The sequence below is a fragment of the Homo sapiens genome, chromosome X, assembly GCF_000001405.40.
Source record: "Homo sapiens chromosome X, GRCh38.p14 Primary Assembly".
Taxonomy (NCBI): domain Eukaryota; kingdom Metazoa; phylum Chordata; class Mammalia; order Primates; family Hominidae; genus Homo; species Homo sapiens.
In genome coordinates, this window is record NC_000023.11 from 97,114,094 (window position 1) to 97,133,578 (window position 19,485).

The window sequence follows — 19,485 nt, forward strand, 5'->3', positions numbered from 1 at the left end:
TACTTGAAAGTAAGTTCATGTGATTTTACTATCATCTAATTACTTAACAGCAGCATCTGTCAAGTAGGTGAAATTCTTTAGAAATTCTTTAGAGTATATATAAATAGTATATTTTATGAATAGAAATCATAAGTTTAAAAATTATTAAATGCTCAATCAGAGCTAGTCTTCTGATTTCAAACAGCATAGTAATAGGTAATTTCTTAGGAAATGTTCCAGTTATATTTTCTGTCATCATGTACATCTTTTATCTGCGGCCCAACTATTCACTCAACTCAATTTCATGTTTATAAATTTTCCTAGTTCACCTCAGGGACAGATTTTGGCAGTTTGAATGCTATTGATGGCTAATGATTATGCAATTAACATATAGCAACTGTTCAGCTTCTATAATATTTTATTAATGCCATAAGGATGATTTATTTTTTTAAAAACCTGTATAGCCAACTGCTTTTTAAACTTTGATAAACTATTTCTTTGGAATGTTTAAAACAAAAAAGATTTTTAAAATCCCAGAGCAAACTGACTTTATGCAGAAATGTTACAGTGTTGTCTATGAAATTATCCCCACTAAAGAGATAAAATAAGAGGCATTAAATGTATATTCTCATAGGGTATTTCTTATCTTACAGATGAGCTCTGTGAAAATGTTACAGCCTCGTCTCAGTAGTATCCTGTTCAAGCTCACATTTGAAGAACACATAAACAACATCAAACCAAGCATCATAGCAGTAACTCTTGCCTGTGAAGAACTGAAGAAAAGTGAAAGCTTTAACAGACTTTTAGAGTTAGTTCTTCTTGTTGGAAACTACATGAACTCAGGCTCAAGAAATGCCCAGTCTTTGGGATTTAAGATCAACTTCCTTTGTAAGGTAAGATGACATTTTATAATGCTAATTTACAACAATAATCTTCTTGTCTATGAAAGGTGATACTGCAAATAGCAATCGTACATAAACCACAAAATTGTATGCTTAAAAAGGGTGAATTTTCTGGGATGCGAATTATATCTCAATTCAAACAAATAATTTTTTAAAATTTTAGTAAAATCTAAAAGACTTGAATATTCTTTTGGAATACAGTACTTAACATTTGCTGATTACATTTTACTGAAGTTTATAGACAAAAAAATCCCACTTTTATAAACTAGATGCAGTATTGGCCAGGCGCGGTGGCTCACACCTGTAATCCCAGCACTTTGAGAGGCTGAGGCGGGTGGATAACCTGAGGTCAGGAGTTCGAGAACAGCCTGGCCAGCATGGTGAAACCCCGTCTCTACTAAAATTACAAAAATTAGTGGGGCGCGGTGACGGGTACCTGTAATCCCAGCTACTCTGGAGGCTGAGGCAGGAGAGTCGCTTGAACACGGGAGGCGGGGGTTGGAGTGAGCCGAGATCATGCCACTGTACTCCAGCCTAAGCAACAGAGCAAGACTCTGTCTCAAAAAATAAAATATAAAATAAAATAGATGCAGTATTATATTTCCTTTACATTATTACTTATATCGTTCTAAAAAGTATCTGACAAGCTAAATTTAATGAGATAAATAGCCAGAAATTTATTTTTGAATATAGTTTGCTTATTCTACTCTAAGATAATAATACTCTTCAATGTCAAGTAGTGTTGTACACTGGTATCTGGTGCATTAACTAAGAGGTAAAAAAGAAAATTGAATAACAATCATCTTGTTTTGATTGGATCATTTAATAATATTTTTGAGACTTATGAAAAGCAAACAAAGAAACAGAGAAGCCCAAAAGTGCTTGTATATGTCCATTTTTAGGCTAGAGCAAACCACCTTATTCAAAGAAAAGATCTGTCTGTTATAGAAGCCTGAAAACACTCTGAGGTGAAGGCCTGTAAGAAAGCTAGAGACGAAAATAAATCTGAAAACAAGCAATCTGTCTTTGACAACTCACCATTCTTTCACTCTTTTTTTTCTCTCACATCTGAAAATATTGCAGAACTTTGGTTAGTTCTTGAAGTATATTATAATGAGAATCCCAAATCTAGCAATGGATATGAATTTCTTTTCTATACATGCATTAAATTGATGTTCATTACATATACATGGACTAGCACTTTGATATGTATCAAAAATGATTTGATCTTGGTAGTTCTAACCCAAATAGACATAAAGAATAACACTTATAGATAATAATAGGATGTACAATAGAATTGTGAACATCTGTTTACTCCTGATATATTTTTGAGGGCTGTAAGGAAAGAGAACAAGGAAAATACAGAAGATTATCTGGAAATGCTGGATTTTGTGAAGAAAACATTTTTACCCCCATCTTCTTGTGATATTTGGGGACATGTAAAATCATTTCATAATGCCAGAGGGAATAAGGCAGTGCTTGTAATAAACTGTACTAAATCATGCCAGATTTATAGGATGAAATAAAGTATTTAGGACTTCAGCATTGTATTGCATACCATATCCCCAATGTTAATAGAGTCATCTCTACCATGGTGCTACTTGCCTAGAGTATATGCTATATGCACACTGAGTGAATCTAAAAGTGTTCTTGCTTGACAATTATAAAGAGATTATAAGTTAAAATATCATCAGAAATTTGTATTAGATACCTATTTTGCATTTAATTCATATAAAAATATTTAAAACCATTCTAATTTGAAGAAATATGTACCTTATAAGTGTCTTAATTTCACACTATTCAAATTAATTACATGAACTGATTTCTTTGAAGCAAGAATGAATAAGTCATTTATACATAGGAACAAAAGGTTACGTTAATCTCACCGAAGGATTTTACAGTTACATCTTATATTTTGGAGAGAGGCTTCTTTCTGTCATCTACCTGTCAAATAAAAGTTCTTCTACACAACGCTGATCTGACATCTATCACTAGAGGTATGCTCAAAGGATTCAGCACAAAGATTTTTGCCAACTTCAAATAAAATAAAAAATAATCTTGCGGGAAATACTATCATGTAGCAATAGGTGTTCCAAAAGTGAAAGAAGTGAAGGTTTTAAAATCTGTCCCCCAACTCACCCCCCACTTTTCAGTAAGATTTTTATCTTCTGGGAAATTTTCTAGGAAAACAGTTGTCATTTAGAAAGAGAAATATCATACACATGCATGATATTCCCATAATGTATAGGATTCGAAGGATGTTCCTGGAATACAAAGGATTGTGAGTAAATGTAAATGTCTAAAATGACAGAAATTTTCTGAAGCACGTAGAAATAGTTAGCTTAGTTCTGTATTATGTTTGAAATAGAATTAACTAGCTACTGATGTATGATTAGCTAGAATTGCTGTTTAATTTCAGTTGTATTATGAAAGATTACTTCATTGATTTTTCTTAGTGATTGCCTTCTTAAAGAAAATAGCAGGGGGAATTTCCCTCATAGAACACTGATTATGGTTTTAAAATGATACCATTTACTCTCCTAAATTTTTCTAATGATAATTTCTTTTCTCAGTGATTTTAAAACTAATCCAGTGCTTTTAACAAGAAGCTATAGAGTATGTTAAAATATTCACCTAGGTAAAAAGGAGGCATGTGGTTAAACTTATCAGATGTATCTTGTAGTAAGGTAATATAAAAATTTCAGATGGTCACAGTTGGCTGTTATGGTATTTGGGAAGAAAAGGAAAACAGATGGATTAACCAAAATGTCAACACTAAAGGGTATCATTATTGTAATTACTACCTTCACCACAAAATGCTTTGTTAATTTGCAGCAGTGAATTATCACTTTGTGAGTCACCAAACCAGTGTGCTGAACTGTAATAAAAATCATTTCAATGAAGATGAGCTCCCAATGTTAGCTTAGCCTGTTGGTTATTAAAATTCTAACCAATAGAAATGCTACACTTCAAGGCCATTTGTTTGTTGTTTTTTTTTTCAGTACGAAATAGCATATATAATCTGCATAAGGACAAAACATTTTAAAATACTTAGCATTCCCTATATACTAAGCTTTGTGGGTTTATCAAATAAGGATCTTTGTTTGTAAGTATCAGAACGTGACTCTGCCTGATTCAAGCAAAAAGTGAAACTTGCTGGAAGGATATGAAGTAACTAAGCCAGAAACTGAGGAAAGACTAAAGAACTTGCCCTTTAAAAGAACAGCAACTGTGACAGCTTTGAGAATTCAGGTAGCAGGAATGAATGAAAAGTCTTTTTAGGATGTTGCCTTTGGGATATATCAGCTCCAACCATTTTCCTTCTCCTTTCCCTATGTTTGATTCAAATTCAAATTATGAAGAGAGCCTAATGAGCCCGGTGTGGATTATAAGAACACCCCTTGTTCAAGGGAGAGCAAAAAACCCTGATTGACAGTGCTACCAAAACTACCTGCCATGGAAGATTGGTTATGCCCTAAAGGGTGCTGTTACCAAAGATAGGGCTACCAAAGGTTAGGAGCAGGTAAAGGGATATCAGGCAGCTCTAAACAAATACAAAATAAAACAGATGATCTATTCATCAGAGGCCTACCAACAATAGAGAAGATACACAGAAACCTCAAGAAGCTTGTGGTACAGTTGAGCAGCCAGGAAATATACATACACAATATTATGTAATGTCACAAGGTACACTGTCAATGAGGGCAAAAATAAATGGCCACTGAGATTAGCAGTAGTTCAGGGGAGGAAGGAATCTTTGGTGATTGGGCAGTGCTGGTAAATTGAAAAAGAAGAATCTTGAAGGATAGGTAGGATTAAGAATCTATAACTTTACAAAAGGGGAGAACATTGTGGCTTGGAACCTACGTTTTAACTTACACTTTTGTCAATTACTAGCCAAATTTTCCTGACTAAGTCACTTACCTTCTCTAAATCTCAATTTGAGATTGAATATTTCTTGAATATTTCTCCCTTCACTTCTTGTATCTTTTTTTGGATTTCCTTGCATTGGGCTTCACCTTTCTCTGGTGCCTCCCTGATTAGCGTAATAACCAACATCCTGAATTCTTTTTCAGGTAAATCAGGGATTTTTTTTCTTGGTTTGGATCTCTTGCTGGTGAGCTAGTGTGATTTTTGGGGGGGTGTTAAGGAACCTTGTTTGGTCCTATTACCAGAGTTGGTTTTCTGGTTCCTTCTCATTTGGGTAGGCTCTGTCAGAGGGAAAATCTAGGGCTGAAGGCTGTTGTTCAGATTCTTTTGTCCCATGGGGTATTCTCTTGATGTAGTACTCTCCTCCTTTTCCTATGGATGTGGCTTCCTGAGAGCCGAGCTGCAGGAGCTGCAGTGATTGTTGTCTCTCTTCTGGGGTCTAGGCACCTGGCTCTGGGCTGGTACTGGGGGTTATCTGCACAAAGGCCTGTGATGTGAACCATCTATGGGCCTCTCAGCTGTAGATACCAGCACCTGTTCTGGTGGAGGTGGCAGGGGGGTGAAATGGACTCTGTAAGGGTTCTTAGCTTTGGTGGTTTAATGTTCTATTTTTGTGCTGGTTGGCCTCCTGCCGGGAGGTGGTGATTTCCATAGAGCATCAGCTGTGGTAGTATGGAGAGGAACCGGCGGTGGGCAGGGCCCTAGAACTCCCAAGAGTATGTCCCCTTTGTCTTCAGCTACCAGCATGGGTAGGGAAGGGCCATCAGGTGGGGCAGGTCTAGGCATGTCTGACCTCAGACTCTCCTTGGGTGGGTCTTGTTGCGGCTGCTGAGCGTGAGATTCCCAGCTCAATGGAGTTGTGTACCTACCGTGGATTATGGTTGCCTCTGCTGAGTCATGCAGGTTGTCAGGAAAGTGGGGGAAAGCCGGCAGTCACAGGCCTCACCCAGCTCCCACGCAATCCAAAGGGCTGGCCCCACTCCCACCATGCCCCCACTAACAGCAACGAGTCTGTTTCCAGGCAGTGGGCAAACAGGGCTGAGAACTTGCCCCAGGCTACCCACCTCCGAGCTGTGAAAGAAAAGGGCTTTAGTTCTTCCCCTGCCTGTAGAGTCTACACAGCGGATTCACGCCCTCCACTGAGTTCTGGCCAGGAGGCTTCTTGACCACTTCAAGTTGTTACAAAGATCAGCTGGAGACTTTCTTCTCCTTGTGGCTTTTCCCCTTGTGCCTCTGGCTGCCCTCCGGAAGGATCCCTATGGTGCCAGGCAGGAATAGCCTGCTTGGGGACCCAGCGAACTCCCAGGGCCTTTCCTGCTGCTTCCTCTACCCCTGTATTTTGCTTGGCTCTCTAAATTGACTCAGCTCCAGGTAAGGTTGGAAACTTCTCCCTCAAACTAGACCTTCGGTTTCCCCAGTAGGGGTGTGTGTTCGGTGGTGGAGGATCTCCCTTTCCCACTTCGCAATTTGGGCACTCACAGTATTTGGGTCCTGCAGCAGCAGTCCCCTTCCTTCAGAGGGTCTGTGGGTCCTCTCGGGATTCCTGGTTTATCCCTGCAGTCGTTTTGGAGCTAAAATTCACAACGCAAGCCTCCGCACGCTTCTCTGTCCATCCGAGTTGGAGCTGCAATCTAGTCCTGCTTCCCGTCTGCCATGATCCTCCCACAAATTCATAAACTTTCTTAAAACATTATGAGAGTTTTTTGTGGGTTTTTTTTTTTTTTTTTTTTTTTAGCTCATCAGCTATCATTAGTGATAGTATATACTATATATAGCCCAAGACAATTCTCCTTCTTCTAATGTGGCCCAGGGAAGCCAAAAGATTGGACACCCATGATCTAGAATATCTATAACATGTAAAGCCTCATCTAGAGGCCATTACATGGTATTAGTGACAAAGTATCATACCAACTATACAAAGGAAACATCCATCTCCATCCATTTCCCCCATAGAAGTTGTTAGAAGGAAAGTAAAATAGGTTCAGCTTTATTGTGAAATAGAAAATTACTGCAGAAAATATGCTTTGTAAAGAAAAGTGACTGCTGTCTATGGTAGTAAAATTTGGAAATCTGTAATCCACACACACAAAAGAATCTACAAAAGACCTTAGAAAAAAGTCATATGTAAGTACACGCAAAGTTTTGCAGTGTCTAATCATTTCTAGCTAAAATAATGTGGACTATGTCCATATAAACTCAGAATGTCAGCATATGAATACATCCAGTCTAACCTCTTCAGTCCACAAGTGAGAAAACTGATGCTTGTAGAAGCAAAATACTTTAGTCAGTGTATTGTTCAGCTTGGACTGACATAACAGAAACCAAAGGCTGAGTGGCTTAAAGAGGAGAAATTTATTTTTTCACAGTTATAGGACTGAAAGCCTAAGATCAAGATGCCAGCAGGGTTGGTTTCTGGTGAGGTCTCTCTCCTTGGGTTACCATATGGCCACCTTTTCACCGTGTCTTTACTTGACATTTAATTTACTGTTTTCTTCCCCTTTGTCCTTCACAAGACTCAGAACTCGTCAAATTTGGATGTATATTTTATTCTGCATTATATCTCCAGTGTCTATTATATGTGAAGCTCTCAATATATTACTACAGATTGAAAGTCAGACAATTTGATTAAATAGAGGATTTGTTATTAATACTCAGCATGTGTTAACTTGTTTTTTAAGTTAGAACATTTTGTTCCTCACAGATACAAAGGGCATATTTTTGCCAGCAAAACTGTTGAATATGTAACTGTAAGATTTTTTATGCTTTATTTGTAAAGACGCAAAAATGTGTTGTTTGCTGTAAATCTAAATCAGCAACTCATTATTAAATATGGGTTATTAAATAAATTAACATGAGACTATTAATTTAAAACCAAAGATATTTTAGAAAATAATCACTATAGGATGTACTGAAAGGGAACCTAGCAACGATCAATAAATCCTGGTCAACAGTCCATGCATTTGTTTGCCTGTGTTTTTATAGTTTATAAAGTGTTTTCCTTGTGATTCAGGGAGGTTAAGTATTATTGACCCCATTTTGCAAATTAGAAAACTAAAGCCCAGTGAGGTTATATAATTTGTCCAAGATTCAAAAACTAGTAAAGGTACAAGTTGGGGCTTACATACAGGTTTTCTGTTTACAAAATTGTGTAGCACCCTGCCTCTTATTGCATTGTAACAATGTTTGGTTATACTTGGCTCATTTCAAGGAAGCATTATAGAACCAACTCTGGCACTTACAGTATTCTGAAAATGGGGAAAACCTCATGTGAATTTTCTTGGCTCTCTGGCATGAAACTTGGAATCCATCTTTTTTATTTTAATTCAGCTTGGTGTAACTGTAGGCCTATCAATAGGAAGTTTCTCATCTTGTAATAGATTTTAATGTATCCAAGCAGCAGAGCCTATATATTTGTAATAAAATAGCATCTAATAATTTGAATAATTGTGGAGCTATCCCTTGGTGTTGTATAGACTGTCAGAGTATTTTAGTTTTGTGTAGGCAAGGTTGACTGCTGTTTTCAATATTTTACAAATGAGGATCTGCTCTCCAGAGAGATGATCTTTACCCAAGATCACTTAGTGATGAAGGCAGAGTTAGGATCCAGCTTTTCCTGGGACTCAAACAAATGATTTCAGTGGATCATGCTATTTTCAGAATTTTCATTGACTCTTTTGCTTCACTGAAATATACTTTTTCCTATCAGACAATATTTAGCATTAATTGAATTTGAGGGAGATGTGGTTGATAATTTGCTGAGAAGAAAATGACTTTGTGGGTTATAATTTGTCTTGAAAAAAATTATGTGAAAGGGAAGATTAGACTCTCGATCATTTATGGAGGGGGATGAAATGTTAAGCCCTATTTCCAAACTTTTATTTTTCTCCTTGGGGGTCCTTTAAACTTTCCTTTCTGTGGAGCTATTTGTGGGAAAGAGTTTTCATTTGGTGATCTCTCCTAGTCACTGGTTGCTAATCAGTGATGCAAGATTCTATGCTACACCAAATGCAAAGGAACATATTCATGGTATTTGCATTTAAAAATGTCATCATATAATATAGTGACATGCTGTACCATTTGTTCATAATTCATTACCAGTGGATACAAACATTTCAATTTAAGGGTCTGTCTGTGCCTCATTATATTACGTTGAAGCAAGAATATTCGCTATAGTTTAGACCTCTGAAATAACTAAGCACCATGGAATGACACAAGAACAGGATATCATTCTTAATTTTAAATAGTTTCCTTTGTTCAGCTTATGTGATGGTTGACCTTTATTTAAGTCCATTGTGTTTCATTGTACTGTGCTTACTGAGCTCTCATCATTGAGAACCACTGAATAGTTTCTTGAGCTTAAAGATGAATGTTACACTGTTGTGATACTATGTCAGTGGTGACATTCTGGATTCAGTTTTTATAGTTGTGTCATGGGTTTTTGTTTCCTACACTTTTTCATGTAAATCAATACACCAAAATATGTAATTTTTCAAAGGCAACCATTAATACTACTTAAGTTAGTAAATCTAGAAGTATTTAAATGTATAGAACACTAAATTTTTTAAAGGAAAGAATTCTCCATAAGGTCTTTTAATTGCTGTATGTTATTCATTGTGTATTCTAATGCACATGCCGTTGATCTGTGCATATGGACTTGTGCACGTAGGCAAATGGTAATAGTAGAAGATTGCTTCAGTCATCTGATTTCTCCACTAAATCAAGATACTTGGATACCAGCTCAGAAATCCAATCCAAAGTCCTCACCTCTAATGCCCTTCATTGCCATTTAAAATCTGAACCAAACACAGGCCACTTCTTTTGAGTTTATCTTCTTTAAAATGCAGCCCTCTAAGAGTTGGAAACAGACTATCATGGCTCCTTGATTTTGTAATCCTATGAATACGCTACTGTGTGCTTTGAAGATTGTCCTTCAATTAGCAAGTCAGTGCTTTATCCCACTTCTAAGATGTCAGCTACCTGGTCTCCTTGTGTGTCTATATAGTATAGTGGTGCACATACAGATTGACTACTTAAGTAGAAAGAAAACTTGATGAAGGTAATATGTGTCTCTGTCTTATGAGGTGCCATCTTCTAAAATGATAGCCTCAATTTTTCCAAATGGTCATACATCTTCTAGATTTATATTAATGTGGAGATGCATGATATCTTTCTTGTTCTCTGTAGCCTACATTAAGAAATTGAAATGAGACAAAACACTAACTTTGTGGTAAGCTAATTACAGCAGAGGGAAAAATATATGATCATGTCAGGCATAGGAATTAACAAAGTTTATAGATGTATTTTAAAAATTGCTATAGTTCTAAAAGCTTATGTGTCTCAAAATATCTTTTTGAAAACTTGAGCTCTGAGTGAAAGAAACTAACTCACACCTTTATTCTCCTCCTTGCCTCTTAAAATATAGAGGTCCCGTGAGCTTATTTAAAGATCTTTTTCTCTAAGTTGAAATATTCATTAATTTACATTCATTGCTGCAAATTAGCTAGTACTTTAAGTGTAACACTTGTTTGTTTTCTCAGAATTTGATTACATCTGTTTAGACAAAATCATCACATTTACAATACTATAGGTTGTGTGAAAACTTGATTATACTCCAAAATTTTCAGTTTGTTAAATTCTCTAGAGAACAATAGTTTGTAAATGTAATTTGTCTGATGCAGACTTGATTAGTATTCCTTGTCAATACTGACTGCTTTGGAGACTCATGGGATTTTTTTCTATTATTCTTATGTATGTTAAAATTTTCTGTTGCCTATTACACACACACACACCTCCCTTTACCTGTGATTATTAATATCGTGAAGCCTATGCTGCTATCTCTGATTTTAACTTATATGTTACAGTTATGTCTGCCTCCTAGATATCTAGATAACTTGCTGTGAGGTGTATATATGTATATACATGGGACATACTTGCCTTGAGTACTAGTAATGCCTCGTTATTATACACCCCTCTGCAAACACATGACCTTTTTGTTATGGAAGAGTTTTCAACTTTTGAAAGTTTTGTATTAGGGGAAGGACCAAGGAAAATAAAATAAGAGCCAGATGAAGCCAAAAAGGGTGTGTGTGCATATGGGTGTTGAGTAAGAGAGACAGGGAGATAGACAGAGACAGAGAGATTGAGACACAGAATGAGAGAAAGATAATGAAAGAGTGAGAAGGGTTGGGGTGATTTTCACAATTGGATAATCAGAGAGAAACAGGATTGAGTTAAATGTTCCTTTGTATACATCAATTGACTCATAAAGAGCATTGAAAAATGCAAACTGGCCGGGCGCGGTGGCTCACGCCTGTAATCCCAGCACTTTGGGAGGCCGAGGCGGGTGGATCACGAGGTCAGGAGTTCAAGACCAGCCTGGCCAAGATGGTGAAATCCCGTCTTTACTAAAAATACAAAAATTAGCCGGGCGTGGTGGCGGGCACCTGTAATCCCAGCTACTTGGCAGGCTGAGGCAGAGAATTGCTTGAACCCGGGAGGCAGAGGTTGCAGTGAGCCAAGATCATGCCACTGCACTCCAGCCTGGGTGACAGAGAGTGACTCCGTCTCAAAAAAAAAAAAAAAAAAAAAAAAAAAAGAATGCAAACTAAGAATTACCAAATTATATTCCTTATCTTCTACCAATAATAAGCATTAAAAAGTCAACCATATATATTTGTGTATAGAACTGTAATGAAGGGTATAATTTGTTTTCTGTAGAGAACTCACCTGTGGCTTAGTTTTTGACTCATTAAATACAGATACATTTTCAGGAAATAAGAAAATTAATGCATCTGTATTTTCTTTCATTTTAAAAAAATTATCCTTATAGAGTAATACAAAAAAAGTAATCAAATTAATGCTGTGTCACAGCTATACTTGTTGAAGTCGTTGTGACTAAACAATAATAGATACAGTTAATGGTTGAATAGTATAACTGGCAGAGATGAATACTCCTCTAGTTAACAAAAATACATTTTTTTTGTTCTTGATGAATACCCCATATATCAGGAGCAGCAATAAGCATTTTCAGCGCTAGAGCAGACAAAAAATGATGATTTATGGAACTAGCTGTAGGTCTTACTTAGTTCGCCATGAAGACTGTTTTCATAGAGGATTTAAATGAACCCAGCTGGCTTCGTATTCTGTGAATTGCTATAGTCGTTTTCTGAGTATAATCTTATGACTGATTTTGTAATTCTCACAGTAGGGGAAAGTTGACAACATGAATGGCATTTAGTGAATATAATTAGTAAGTCTGAAAACAAAGGCTTTTTTATTCTATAAAAGCTCTGTTCGAAGGAGATTTTGACCCTGTATGAGACTGTTCCAAAAACATAGCTACCATGACTAAGTTTGACCAGTCATCTTACAAGCTGATTTTCCTGTTAAATGAAGCCTTCCTAGTGAAGGCATTGCACAACCTTAACAAGGAGAGCTCATGTCCATGGAAGGAAGTTTATAAAGTAGCAGTTGATACTAAAATAAAGCTCTGTGATAATTTTAGAGAATCTAAGGATTATTTATATACATTTAACGACTTTTTAGTGAGTACTTGTGCAGCAAGTTGGCCACATTTATTGAGCCTTTACCCTCTGTGGAACCTTGTGCTAGATGCTTTGTGGGGATAAAGAGAAGTAAAACATACATCTCCAGTCCTTGAGGAGCTTATGAGCTAGATGCCAGATATAGAACATTGTAATGCTAAAGCAAGAGACAGGGAGAAGTGTGTGTGGGGACAGGCAAATGGATTTTATATAATAGCACACATGAAAAATAAATTATGTTGCTCATAAACACTGGCTAACTAACCACAAGACAAGAAAGCGCATACTCTGTTAGATGATATCTATACTGTAAAGCTGCTCCACTTCTTTGGAAAGGAAGGAAAAAACAATTCCAGCCCCATTTCCAAGATGTACTTTTCTTCTCTTCCCCAAACAATGTCTTCAGTTTTGCTTTTCCTGCCTTCCGTCATGGGGACAAGCACAAAGCCTTGCCATTCATTATTTTCTTATCTTTTAGTCTTTTTTGAATTTTAAATCTGAATTATCAGAATGCTCTCTTCCCTTTTATGCTACAATAAAAGTATCTTTAAAACTGCTTCTCAAGTTCCTAACATCTTTCTACATATAGTTAAATATTAGTATTTTAAATTTTTTGGATAAAATCAATACCTGTTCAAAAACAATAGTATAATGGTACTACTTATAACTATTGTATGTCTGTACCCCTCCCAATTCACTAATTAGTCACAAAAGTCAAATAATTTCCTTTTGCCAGAGGATATCATGAGATTGTCTAGATAAATAAGAATGAAGAAACTTGTTATTTAATGTTCAGTATGAGGGATCACTCCAGGATGCAAGTAACCTACTATGAGGAAATATAAGCTTTTCAGAGGCTATTTAGGGAAAGGATCTCAATATTTCAGATTTAAGCAACTAGCTAGATACACATATTAAAACAGAATCCTCTACTTAGAAACCTGTGCTGAGGGAAGTGGAAAAGTATTGTAAGTTATATTCAAAGACTTGGGGACAGATGAACATGCTTGATTCCAAGGATATTTCATCAATCACAGCCTGGCCCATTCAGATCACTTTATGCTTCCAAATTTCAGCTTTCAAAAAGTGTACGAGAAAGGCTAGGGTTACTCGTTGATTTCTTAAAGCATCTTCTTAGGACTTTGTTTGTTGTATTGTTATTTTGTTAGAAGTAAAATGTATTCATGGCCAAGAGAGACTTGAACCTAACCTATAATTTCTTGTAGTAACTTTACTGAGGTTTTTAACTGACATACTATAAAATTTACTCATTTTAGGCCAGGTGCGGTGGCTCACGCCAATAATCCCAGAACTTTGGGAGGCTAAGTCAGGCAGATCACTTGAGCTCAGGAGTTCGAGACTGGCCTAGGCAACATGGCGAAACCCCATCTCTACCAAAAATAGAAAAGATTAGCTGAGTGGGGTGGTGCGTGCTTGTGGTCCCAGCTACTTGGGAGGCTGAGGTGGGAGGATTGCTTGAGCTTGGGAGGTGGAGGTTGCAGTGAGCCAAGATCGCGCCACTACACTCCGCCTCAGAGACAGAGTGAGACTGTTACAAGAAAGGGGTCCTGATCCAGACCCCAAGAGAGGGTTCTTGGATCTCGCACAAGAAAGAATTCAGGGTGAGTCTGCAGTGCAAAGTGAAAGAAAGTTTATTAAGAAAGTAAAAGAATAAAAAATGGCTACTCCATAGACAGAACAGCCCTGAGGGCTGCTGGTTGCCCATTTTTATGGTTATTTCCCGATGATATGCTGAACAAGGGGTGGATTATTCATGCATCCCCTTTTTAGACCGTATAGGATAACTTCCTGACATTGCCATGACATTTGTAAATTGTCATGGCGCTGGTGGGAGTGTAGCAGTGAGGACAACCAAAAGTCACTCTCATCGCCATTTTGGTTTTGGTGGGTTTTGGCCGGCTCCTTTACTGCAACCTGCTTTATCAGCAAGGTCCTTATGACCTGTATTTTGTGCTCACCTCCTATCTCACCTGTGATTTCGAATGCCTTAACCATCTGGGAATGCAACCCAGTAGGTTTCAGCCTAATTTTACCCAGCTCCTATTTAAGATGGAGTTGCTCTGGTTCACATGCCTCTGACAAGACCCCATCTTAACAAAAAATTTACTCACTTTAGGCATACAGTTAGATGAACTTTGTTGTTTGTATACAGCTTTGGAACCTCCACTGCAATCAACCAGTGTGGTTTCCTCATGCCCCTGTGCAGTGGATCCCCACTCCTAGCTCGAGACAACTGCTGATTTGTTTTAAATCACCATGGTTTCGCCTTCTTCTAGAATTTCATATGAATGGAATCATACAGTAATAGAGCCTTTGTGTTACTTTGTGTTGTTAGTGACTTTTTTCACTTAGTGTAAAGTTGTGGCATGTATTGGTAGTTCATTTTTATTTTGAGGTAGTATTCCATTGTATGGCTGTGCCACATTTTGTTCATCTGTTCATCAGCTGATGGACAGTTGGGTTGTTTCTAAATTTTCTATTATACTTGTTGCTATCATCATTTATGTATAAGACATAAATTCATTTATCTTGGGTAAATACCTAGGAGTGGGAATCCTGGGTCATATGGAAAGTATAGTTTTAATTTTAAGAGAGACTGTTTTTCAAAGTGTCTATACCATCTTTTCTTTTCTTTTCTTTTCTTTTCTTTTCTTTTCTTTTCTTTTCTTTTCTTTTCTTTCTTTTCTTTTCTTTTCTTTCTTTTCTTTTCTTTCCTCTTTCTTGTCTTGCTCTGTCACCCAGGCTAGAGTGTAGTGGTGCAATCTGAGCTCACTGCATCCTCTGCCTCCTGGGTTCAAGCAATTATCCTGCCTCAGCCTCCCGAGTAGCTGAGACTACAGGTGCACACCACCGTGCCCAGCTAATTTTTGTATTTTTAGTAGAGATGAGGTTTCACCATATAGGGCAGGGTGGTCTCGAACTCCTGACCGCGTGATCCACCCACCTCGGCCTCCCAGAGTGCTGGGATTACAGGCATGAGCCGCTGTGCCTGGCCATCTACCATTTTTCATTCATACTTATGATTAAATTAAACCACAATGATGGATTTCATATTTGGAATATATGAATATATATGAAAAGATATCTCATATTCATGAGACTGGCAAAAAATGTTAAATTCTGTTAATATAAAGTAGAGGTAAGAATAAGGGGCAAAGAGAACTAATGGTGAGAGTATAACTTGCTAAATTCATTTTGGAAAACAATTTGGTACTATCAAGAAATGTTAAACCATGCACAGAAATGCCCCTTCTAGTGTATACACTAGATAAACTCTTAGGTAAGGACCCTGGAGACATATACAAGAATGATCACATAATCAAATAACACTATCAACAGAGTGAAAAAAAGGCAACCCACAGAATGGGAGAATGTATTCGTAAATAATATATTTGATAAGTGATTGATATCCGTAATATATAAAGAACTCCCACAACTCAACCACAACAAAACAACTCAGTTCAAAAATGGGTAAACAAATTGAATAAATATTTCTCCAGAGAAGATAAACAGATGGCCAATAAACACAGGAAAAGATACTTAACACCACTAATCATTAGGAAATTGCAAATCAAAACCACAATGAAATACCACTTCAAACATACTATAATGGCTACTATCAAGAAAACAGAAAGCAACAAGTGTTGGCAAGGATGTGGAGAAATTTGAACCCTTATGCATTGCTGGTGGGAATGTAAAATGGTGCAGCCAATGTAGGAAATAGCATGGCAGTTACTACAAAAATTAAATGGAATTACCATATGATCCAGCAATTCCACTTCTGGGCATATACATAAAAGAATCGGAAGCAGGGACTACAGATGATTGCATACCAAATTCATAGCAGCATTATTCATAGTAGCCAAAACATGGAAACAACCCAAATGTCCATTGAGTGATGAATGGATAAACAAAGTGTGGCATATATACAATGGAATACTGTTCAGCCTTTAAAAGGAATGAAACTCTGGTATATGTTATATTATAATATGAATGAATCTCCGTGATGTTATGCTACATGAAATAAGCCATATGAAGAAGGACAAATACTATATATTCCACTTATATGAGGTACCTAGAATAGTCAAATTTGTAGAGACAAAAAGTCTTTGTTTACCAAGGGTTGGGGGATAAGGCAGATGGGGAGTTAATGTTTAATGGGTAACAGTTTCAGTATAGGATGATTAAAACGTCCTGGAGATGGATAGTGGTGATGGTTGCACAACAGTGTGAATGCACTTAACCTCACTGAACTGTGTGCTTAAACATGGTTAAAGGCAAGCATGGTAGCCCACACCTATAATCCCAGGGCTTTAGGAGACTGAGGCAGGATTGCTTGAAGCCAGGAGTTTGATAGCAGCCCAGATAATATAGCCTGTAATCTCAGCACTTTGAGAGGCCGAGGTGGGCGAATCACTTGAGCCCAGGATTTTGAGACCAGCCTGAGCAACATGGCAAAACCCCATCTCTACAGAAAAATACAAAAATTAGCACGGTATGGTCGTGGGTGCCTGTAGTCACAGCTACTCGGGAGGCTGAGGTACAAGGATTACCTGAGCCTGGGAGGTTGAGGCTGCAGTGAGCTGTGATCATGCCACTGCACTCCAGCCTAGGTTACAGTAAAATCCTCTCTCAAAAAAATAAATAAATAAATAAAAAAGTGTTCACAGCAGCATTATCTGTAATTATATCCAAAACAGTGATTCCCTCACAAAAAAAAATGGAAACCAGATATTGAAAATGTTCGATGAGATAATATGCCTAAAATTTATAATATTTATATGGTCAACTAATATACAGCATGGATGAATATAGCTAGAAACATCAACATGGTTAAATACCTCACTCTTAAACAGCTGCTCTTCAGTGCTGAATTCTAATTACGCTTTTGTAATATTCTGTGTCTTAGACCTTCAAAGTTTTTCATAAATAGCTAAAATCACTAATGTTAAGTGCCATTTAATGCCATTTATTAAAGGTTAAAACCTTTAAATGCGATTTATTATTTATCTACAGTGTATAGACAGAGCGAATGAGTCCTATGGACTCTTTTGGTGCTAGTGACAATCTGAAGCTATGTACATAAAAAAAAATATTCCATCTACTCTCAAACCTCATACATATAAAACAATTTAAGTAAAATGCTCATGACAATAAAAGTTAAAAGTTTTAGTTACGTGCTTAACCCATGTCTGAGAAGAAACCATCTAACACCAACAAACATTCATACTTGTAAACTATTTCTATACCAATTTAAATAATTTGATTTTTATTAAAACTATTCTCAGAAGAATTTTTATTTGGTAAGCCAACTATAGACAGGATGATTAAAAGCATATGAAAGTACCAGAACAGCTTTTCTTTGCATAGATATATTTCATTAATTCATTCTGGCCTTTCCTAAAACCAGTGAGTACAAATGATGGTTAATTTGCCACTGGTCCTGGCAATGCAGGCTAATGCACATGCAGGTCATTCTCCTTGGATAAGTGGGGCTAGAAGGGAAAATGCTGAGAAGGGGAGCAGGAAGGACAGGAAACAGAATTTGTCTTGTCTAAGAAACTTAGCAGCACAAATGCCCTGCTGGTCCGGAAGGTGGCAATTGAGATGAATCCTTATTCCATTTAATGTTGTTACGGTTTCAAGTTTCAGCTCTCCTTTCACAGATTGCTACCATAAATTAGGCTAACAAGTGTGAAACTTTTAATTTGCTTGACTATACAATTGATATTATCTGTTTCCTTTTGGTTGGAAATATCATTATAATACCAAACTAAAGGGTGTAAAAAAGGGACTATCAGGCCTACATAAAGGATGAAGACCTCTTTCCACCGTAAATTACATTTGGCTGAATTAGTGTCAGCCCTAGTCATGTAGTGCCCAGAAAAGCATTTTTGGTGACAGATTTAGAAATAAAGCTGGGAAAACATGTATTAAACCTGTCCGGTCATAGCTACAGAACTAATGTCTTTATGGTAATTGCAATCTTTAAAAATACATTATCTTTTTCAATGTTACTGCAGTGTGTGGTGGTATTAAAGAAAGCAATAATTTGTAAACAACCCTTGGCAGAGGGCACAGAACTTAATTTTGTTTAAATAAAGGAGACTAACATTAGAATTCTTGTGCTGTATCAAGACTGACAAGCAGTAGTAGCTGTTTTGATATGTGCACTGGAGCATTCATGATTGCTTAAATATTAACTGTTCCATGAATATACAAATATAATAGGGAAAAAGGAAGCCATGATTAATGAAAATTTTCACTAAAAGAAATAAAGTTGAATTATATGACTGTACTGGTGGTTTAGATGGTTTTATTCCATTGACTCAACCAGATCTCTTCACTGAGTTTCAGTATTTCTTTTCAAGGACAATTATATATGTGTATTGTGTGATGTTGCTATGTGTTAGGAATGTTTCCTTGACACAGAAGGATTAGGCAATTTTTTTTTTTCCTGAGTACAGCACCTGTTGATAAGTTTGCTGAAGTTCATGTGGCCATTCATGTAAATCCAAAAGGAAAGGGGGGAGATCCAAAAGGGCTTCCTTCAGATACTCTAGAGATTTGAACTTTTATCTCACATTTAAGTTTTAATATGCTTTAAAGATAGTCTTCCGTTAATGTGTGCAGAAACATTTCCTTTAGTGATATCCACGCTGCTTTACTACTTCATTTCTTATACTCTTTATGCAAAAATCAGTTTTTGTCTCAGAGCAGTTTACACTCTACAGCAATTCATGCAAGAAAACCAGGTGCTCCTCCCACACATTCTTGCATGTTTCCAGAAGAGAACTAACTGTTTTGTTTTTTCTTTTTTCTTTTTTTTTTCTTTGAGACGGAGTTTCGCTCTTGTTGCCCAGGCTGGAGTGCAGTGGCAGGATCTTGGCTCACTGCAACCTCCACCTCCCGGGTTCAAGTGATTCTCCTGCCTCGGCCTCCCAAGTTGCCAGGATTACAGGCATGTGCCACCACGCCTAGCTAATTTTGTATTTTTAGCGGAGATGGGGTTTCACCAAGTTGGTCAGGCTGGTCTCAAACTCCTGACCTCAAGTGATCCACCCAACTTGGCCTCCCAAACTGCTGAGATTATAGGCGTGAGCCACTAC

At 37.1% G+C, this 19,485-nt stretch overlaps 1 protein-coding gene across 2 annotated transcripts in view, besides 1 other annotated feature; it reads left to right on the top strand.

Annotated features, from left to right (window-relative positions):
• DIAPH2 (diaphanous related formin 2) overlaps positions 1 to 19,485 on the top strand; it is a 920,156-nt gene that overhangs the window by 429,252 nt on the left and 471,419 nt on the right. For both annotated transcript variants that reach the window (NM_006729.5, NM_007309.4), the window contains exon 21: positions 633 to 872. In NM_006729.5, the coding sequence (NP_006720.1) occupies positions 633 to 872 (240 nt within the window). The remainder of the gene's footprint in view (positions 1 to 632; positions 873 to 19,485) is intronic.
• Positions 5,018 to 6,217: an enhancer, noted in NCBI's record as "MED14-independent group 3 enhancer chrX:96374110-96375309 (GRCh37/hg19 assembly coordinates)". NCBI's record gives its function as "activates an origin of replication core promoter dependent on BRD2, BRD4, P300/CBP and CDK7 cofactors, and independent of MED14, by STARR-seq in HCT116 cells {active_cell/tissue: HCT116}" and the evidence as "EXISTENCE:reporter gene assay evidence [ECO:0000049][PMID:35650434]".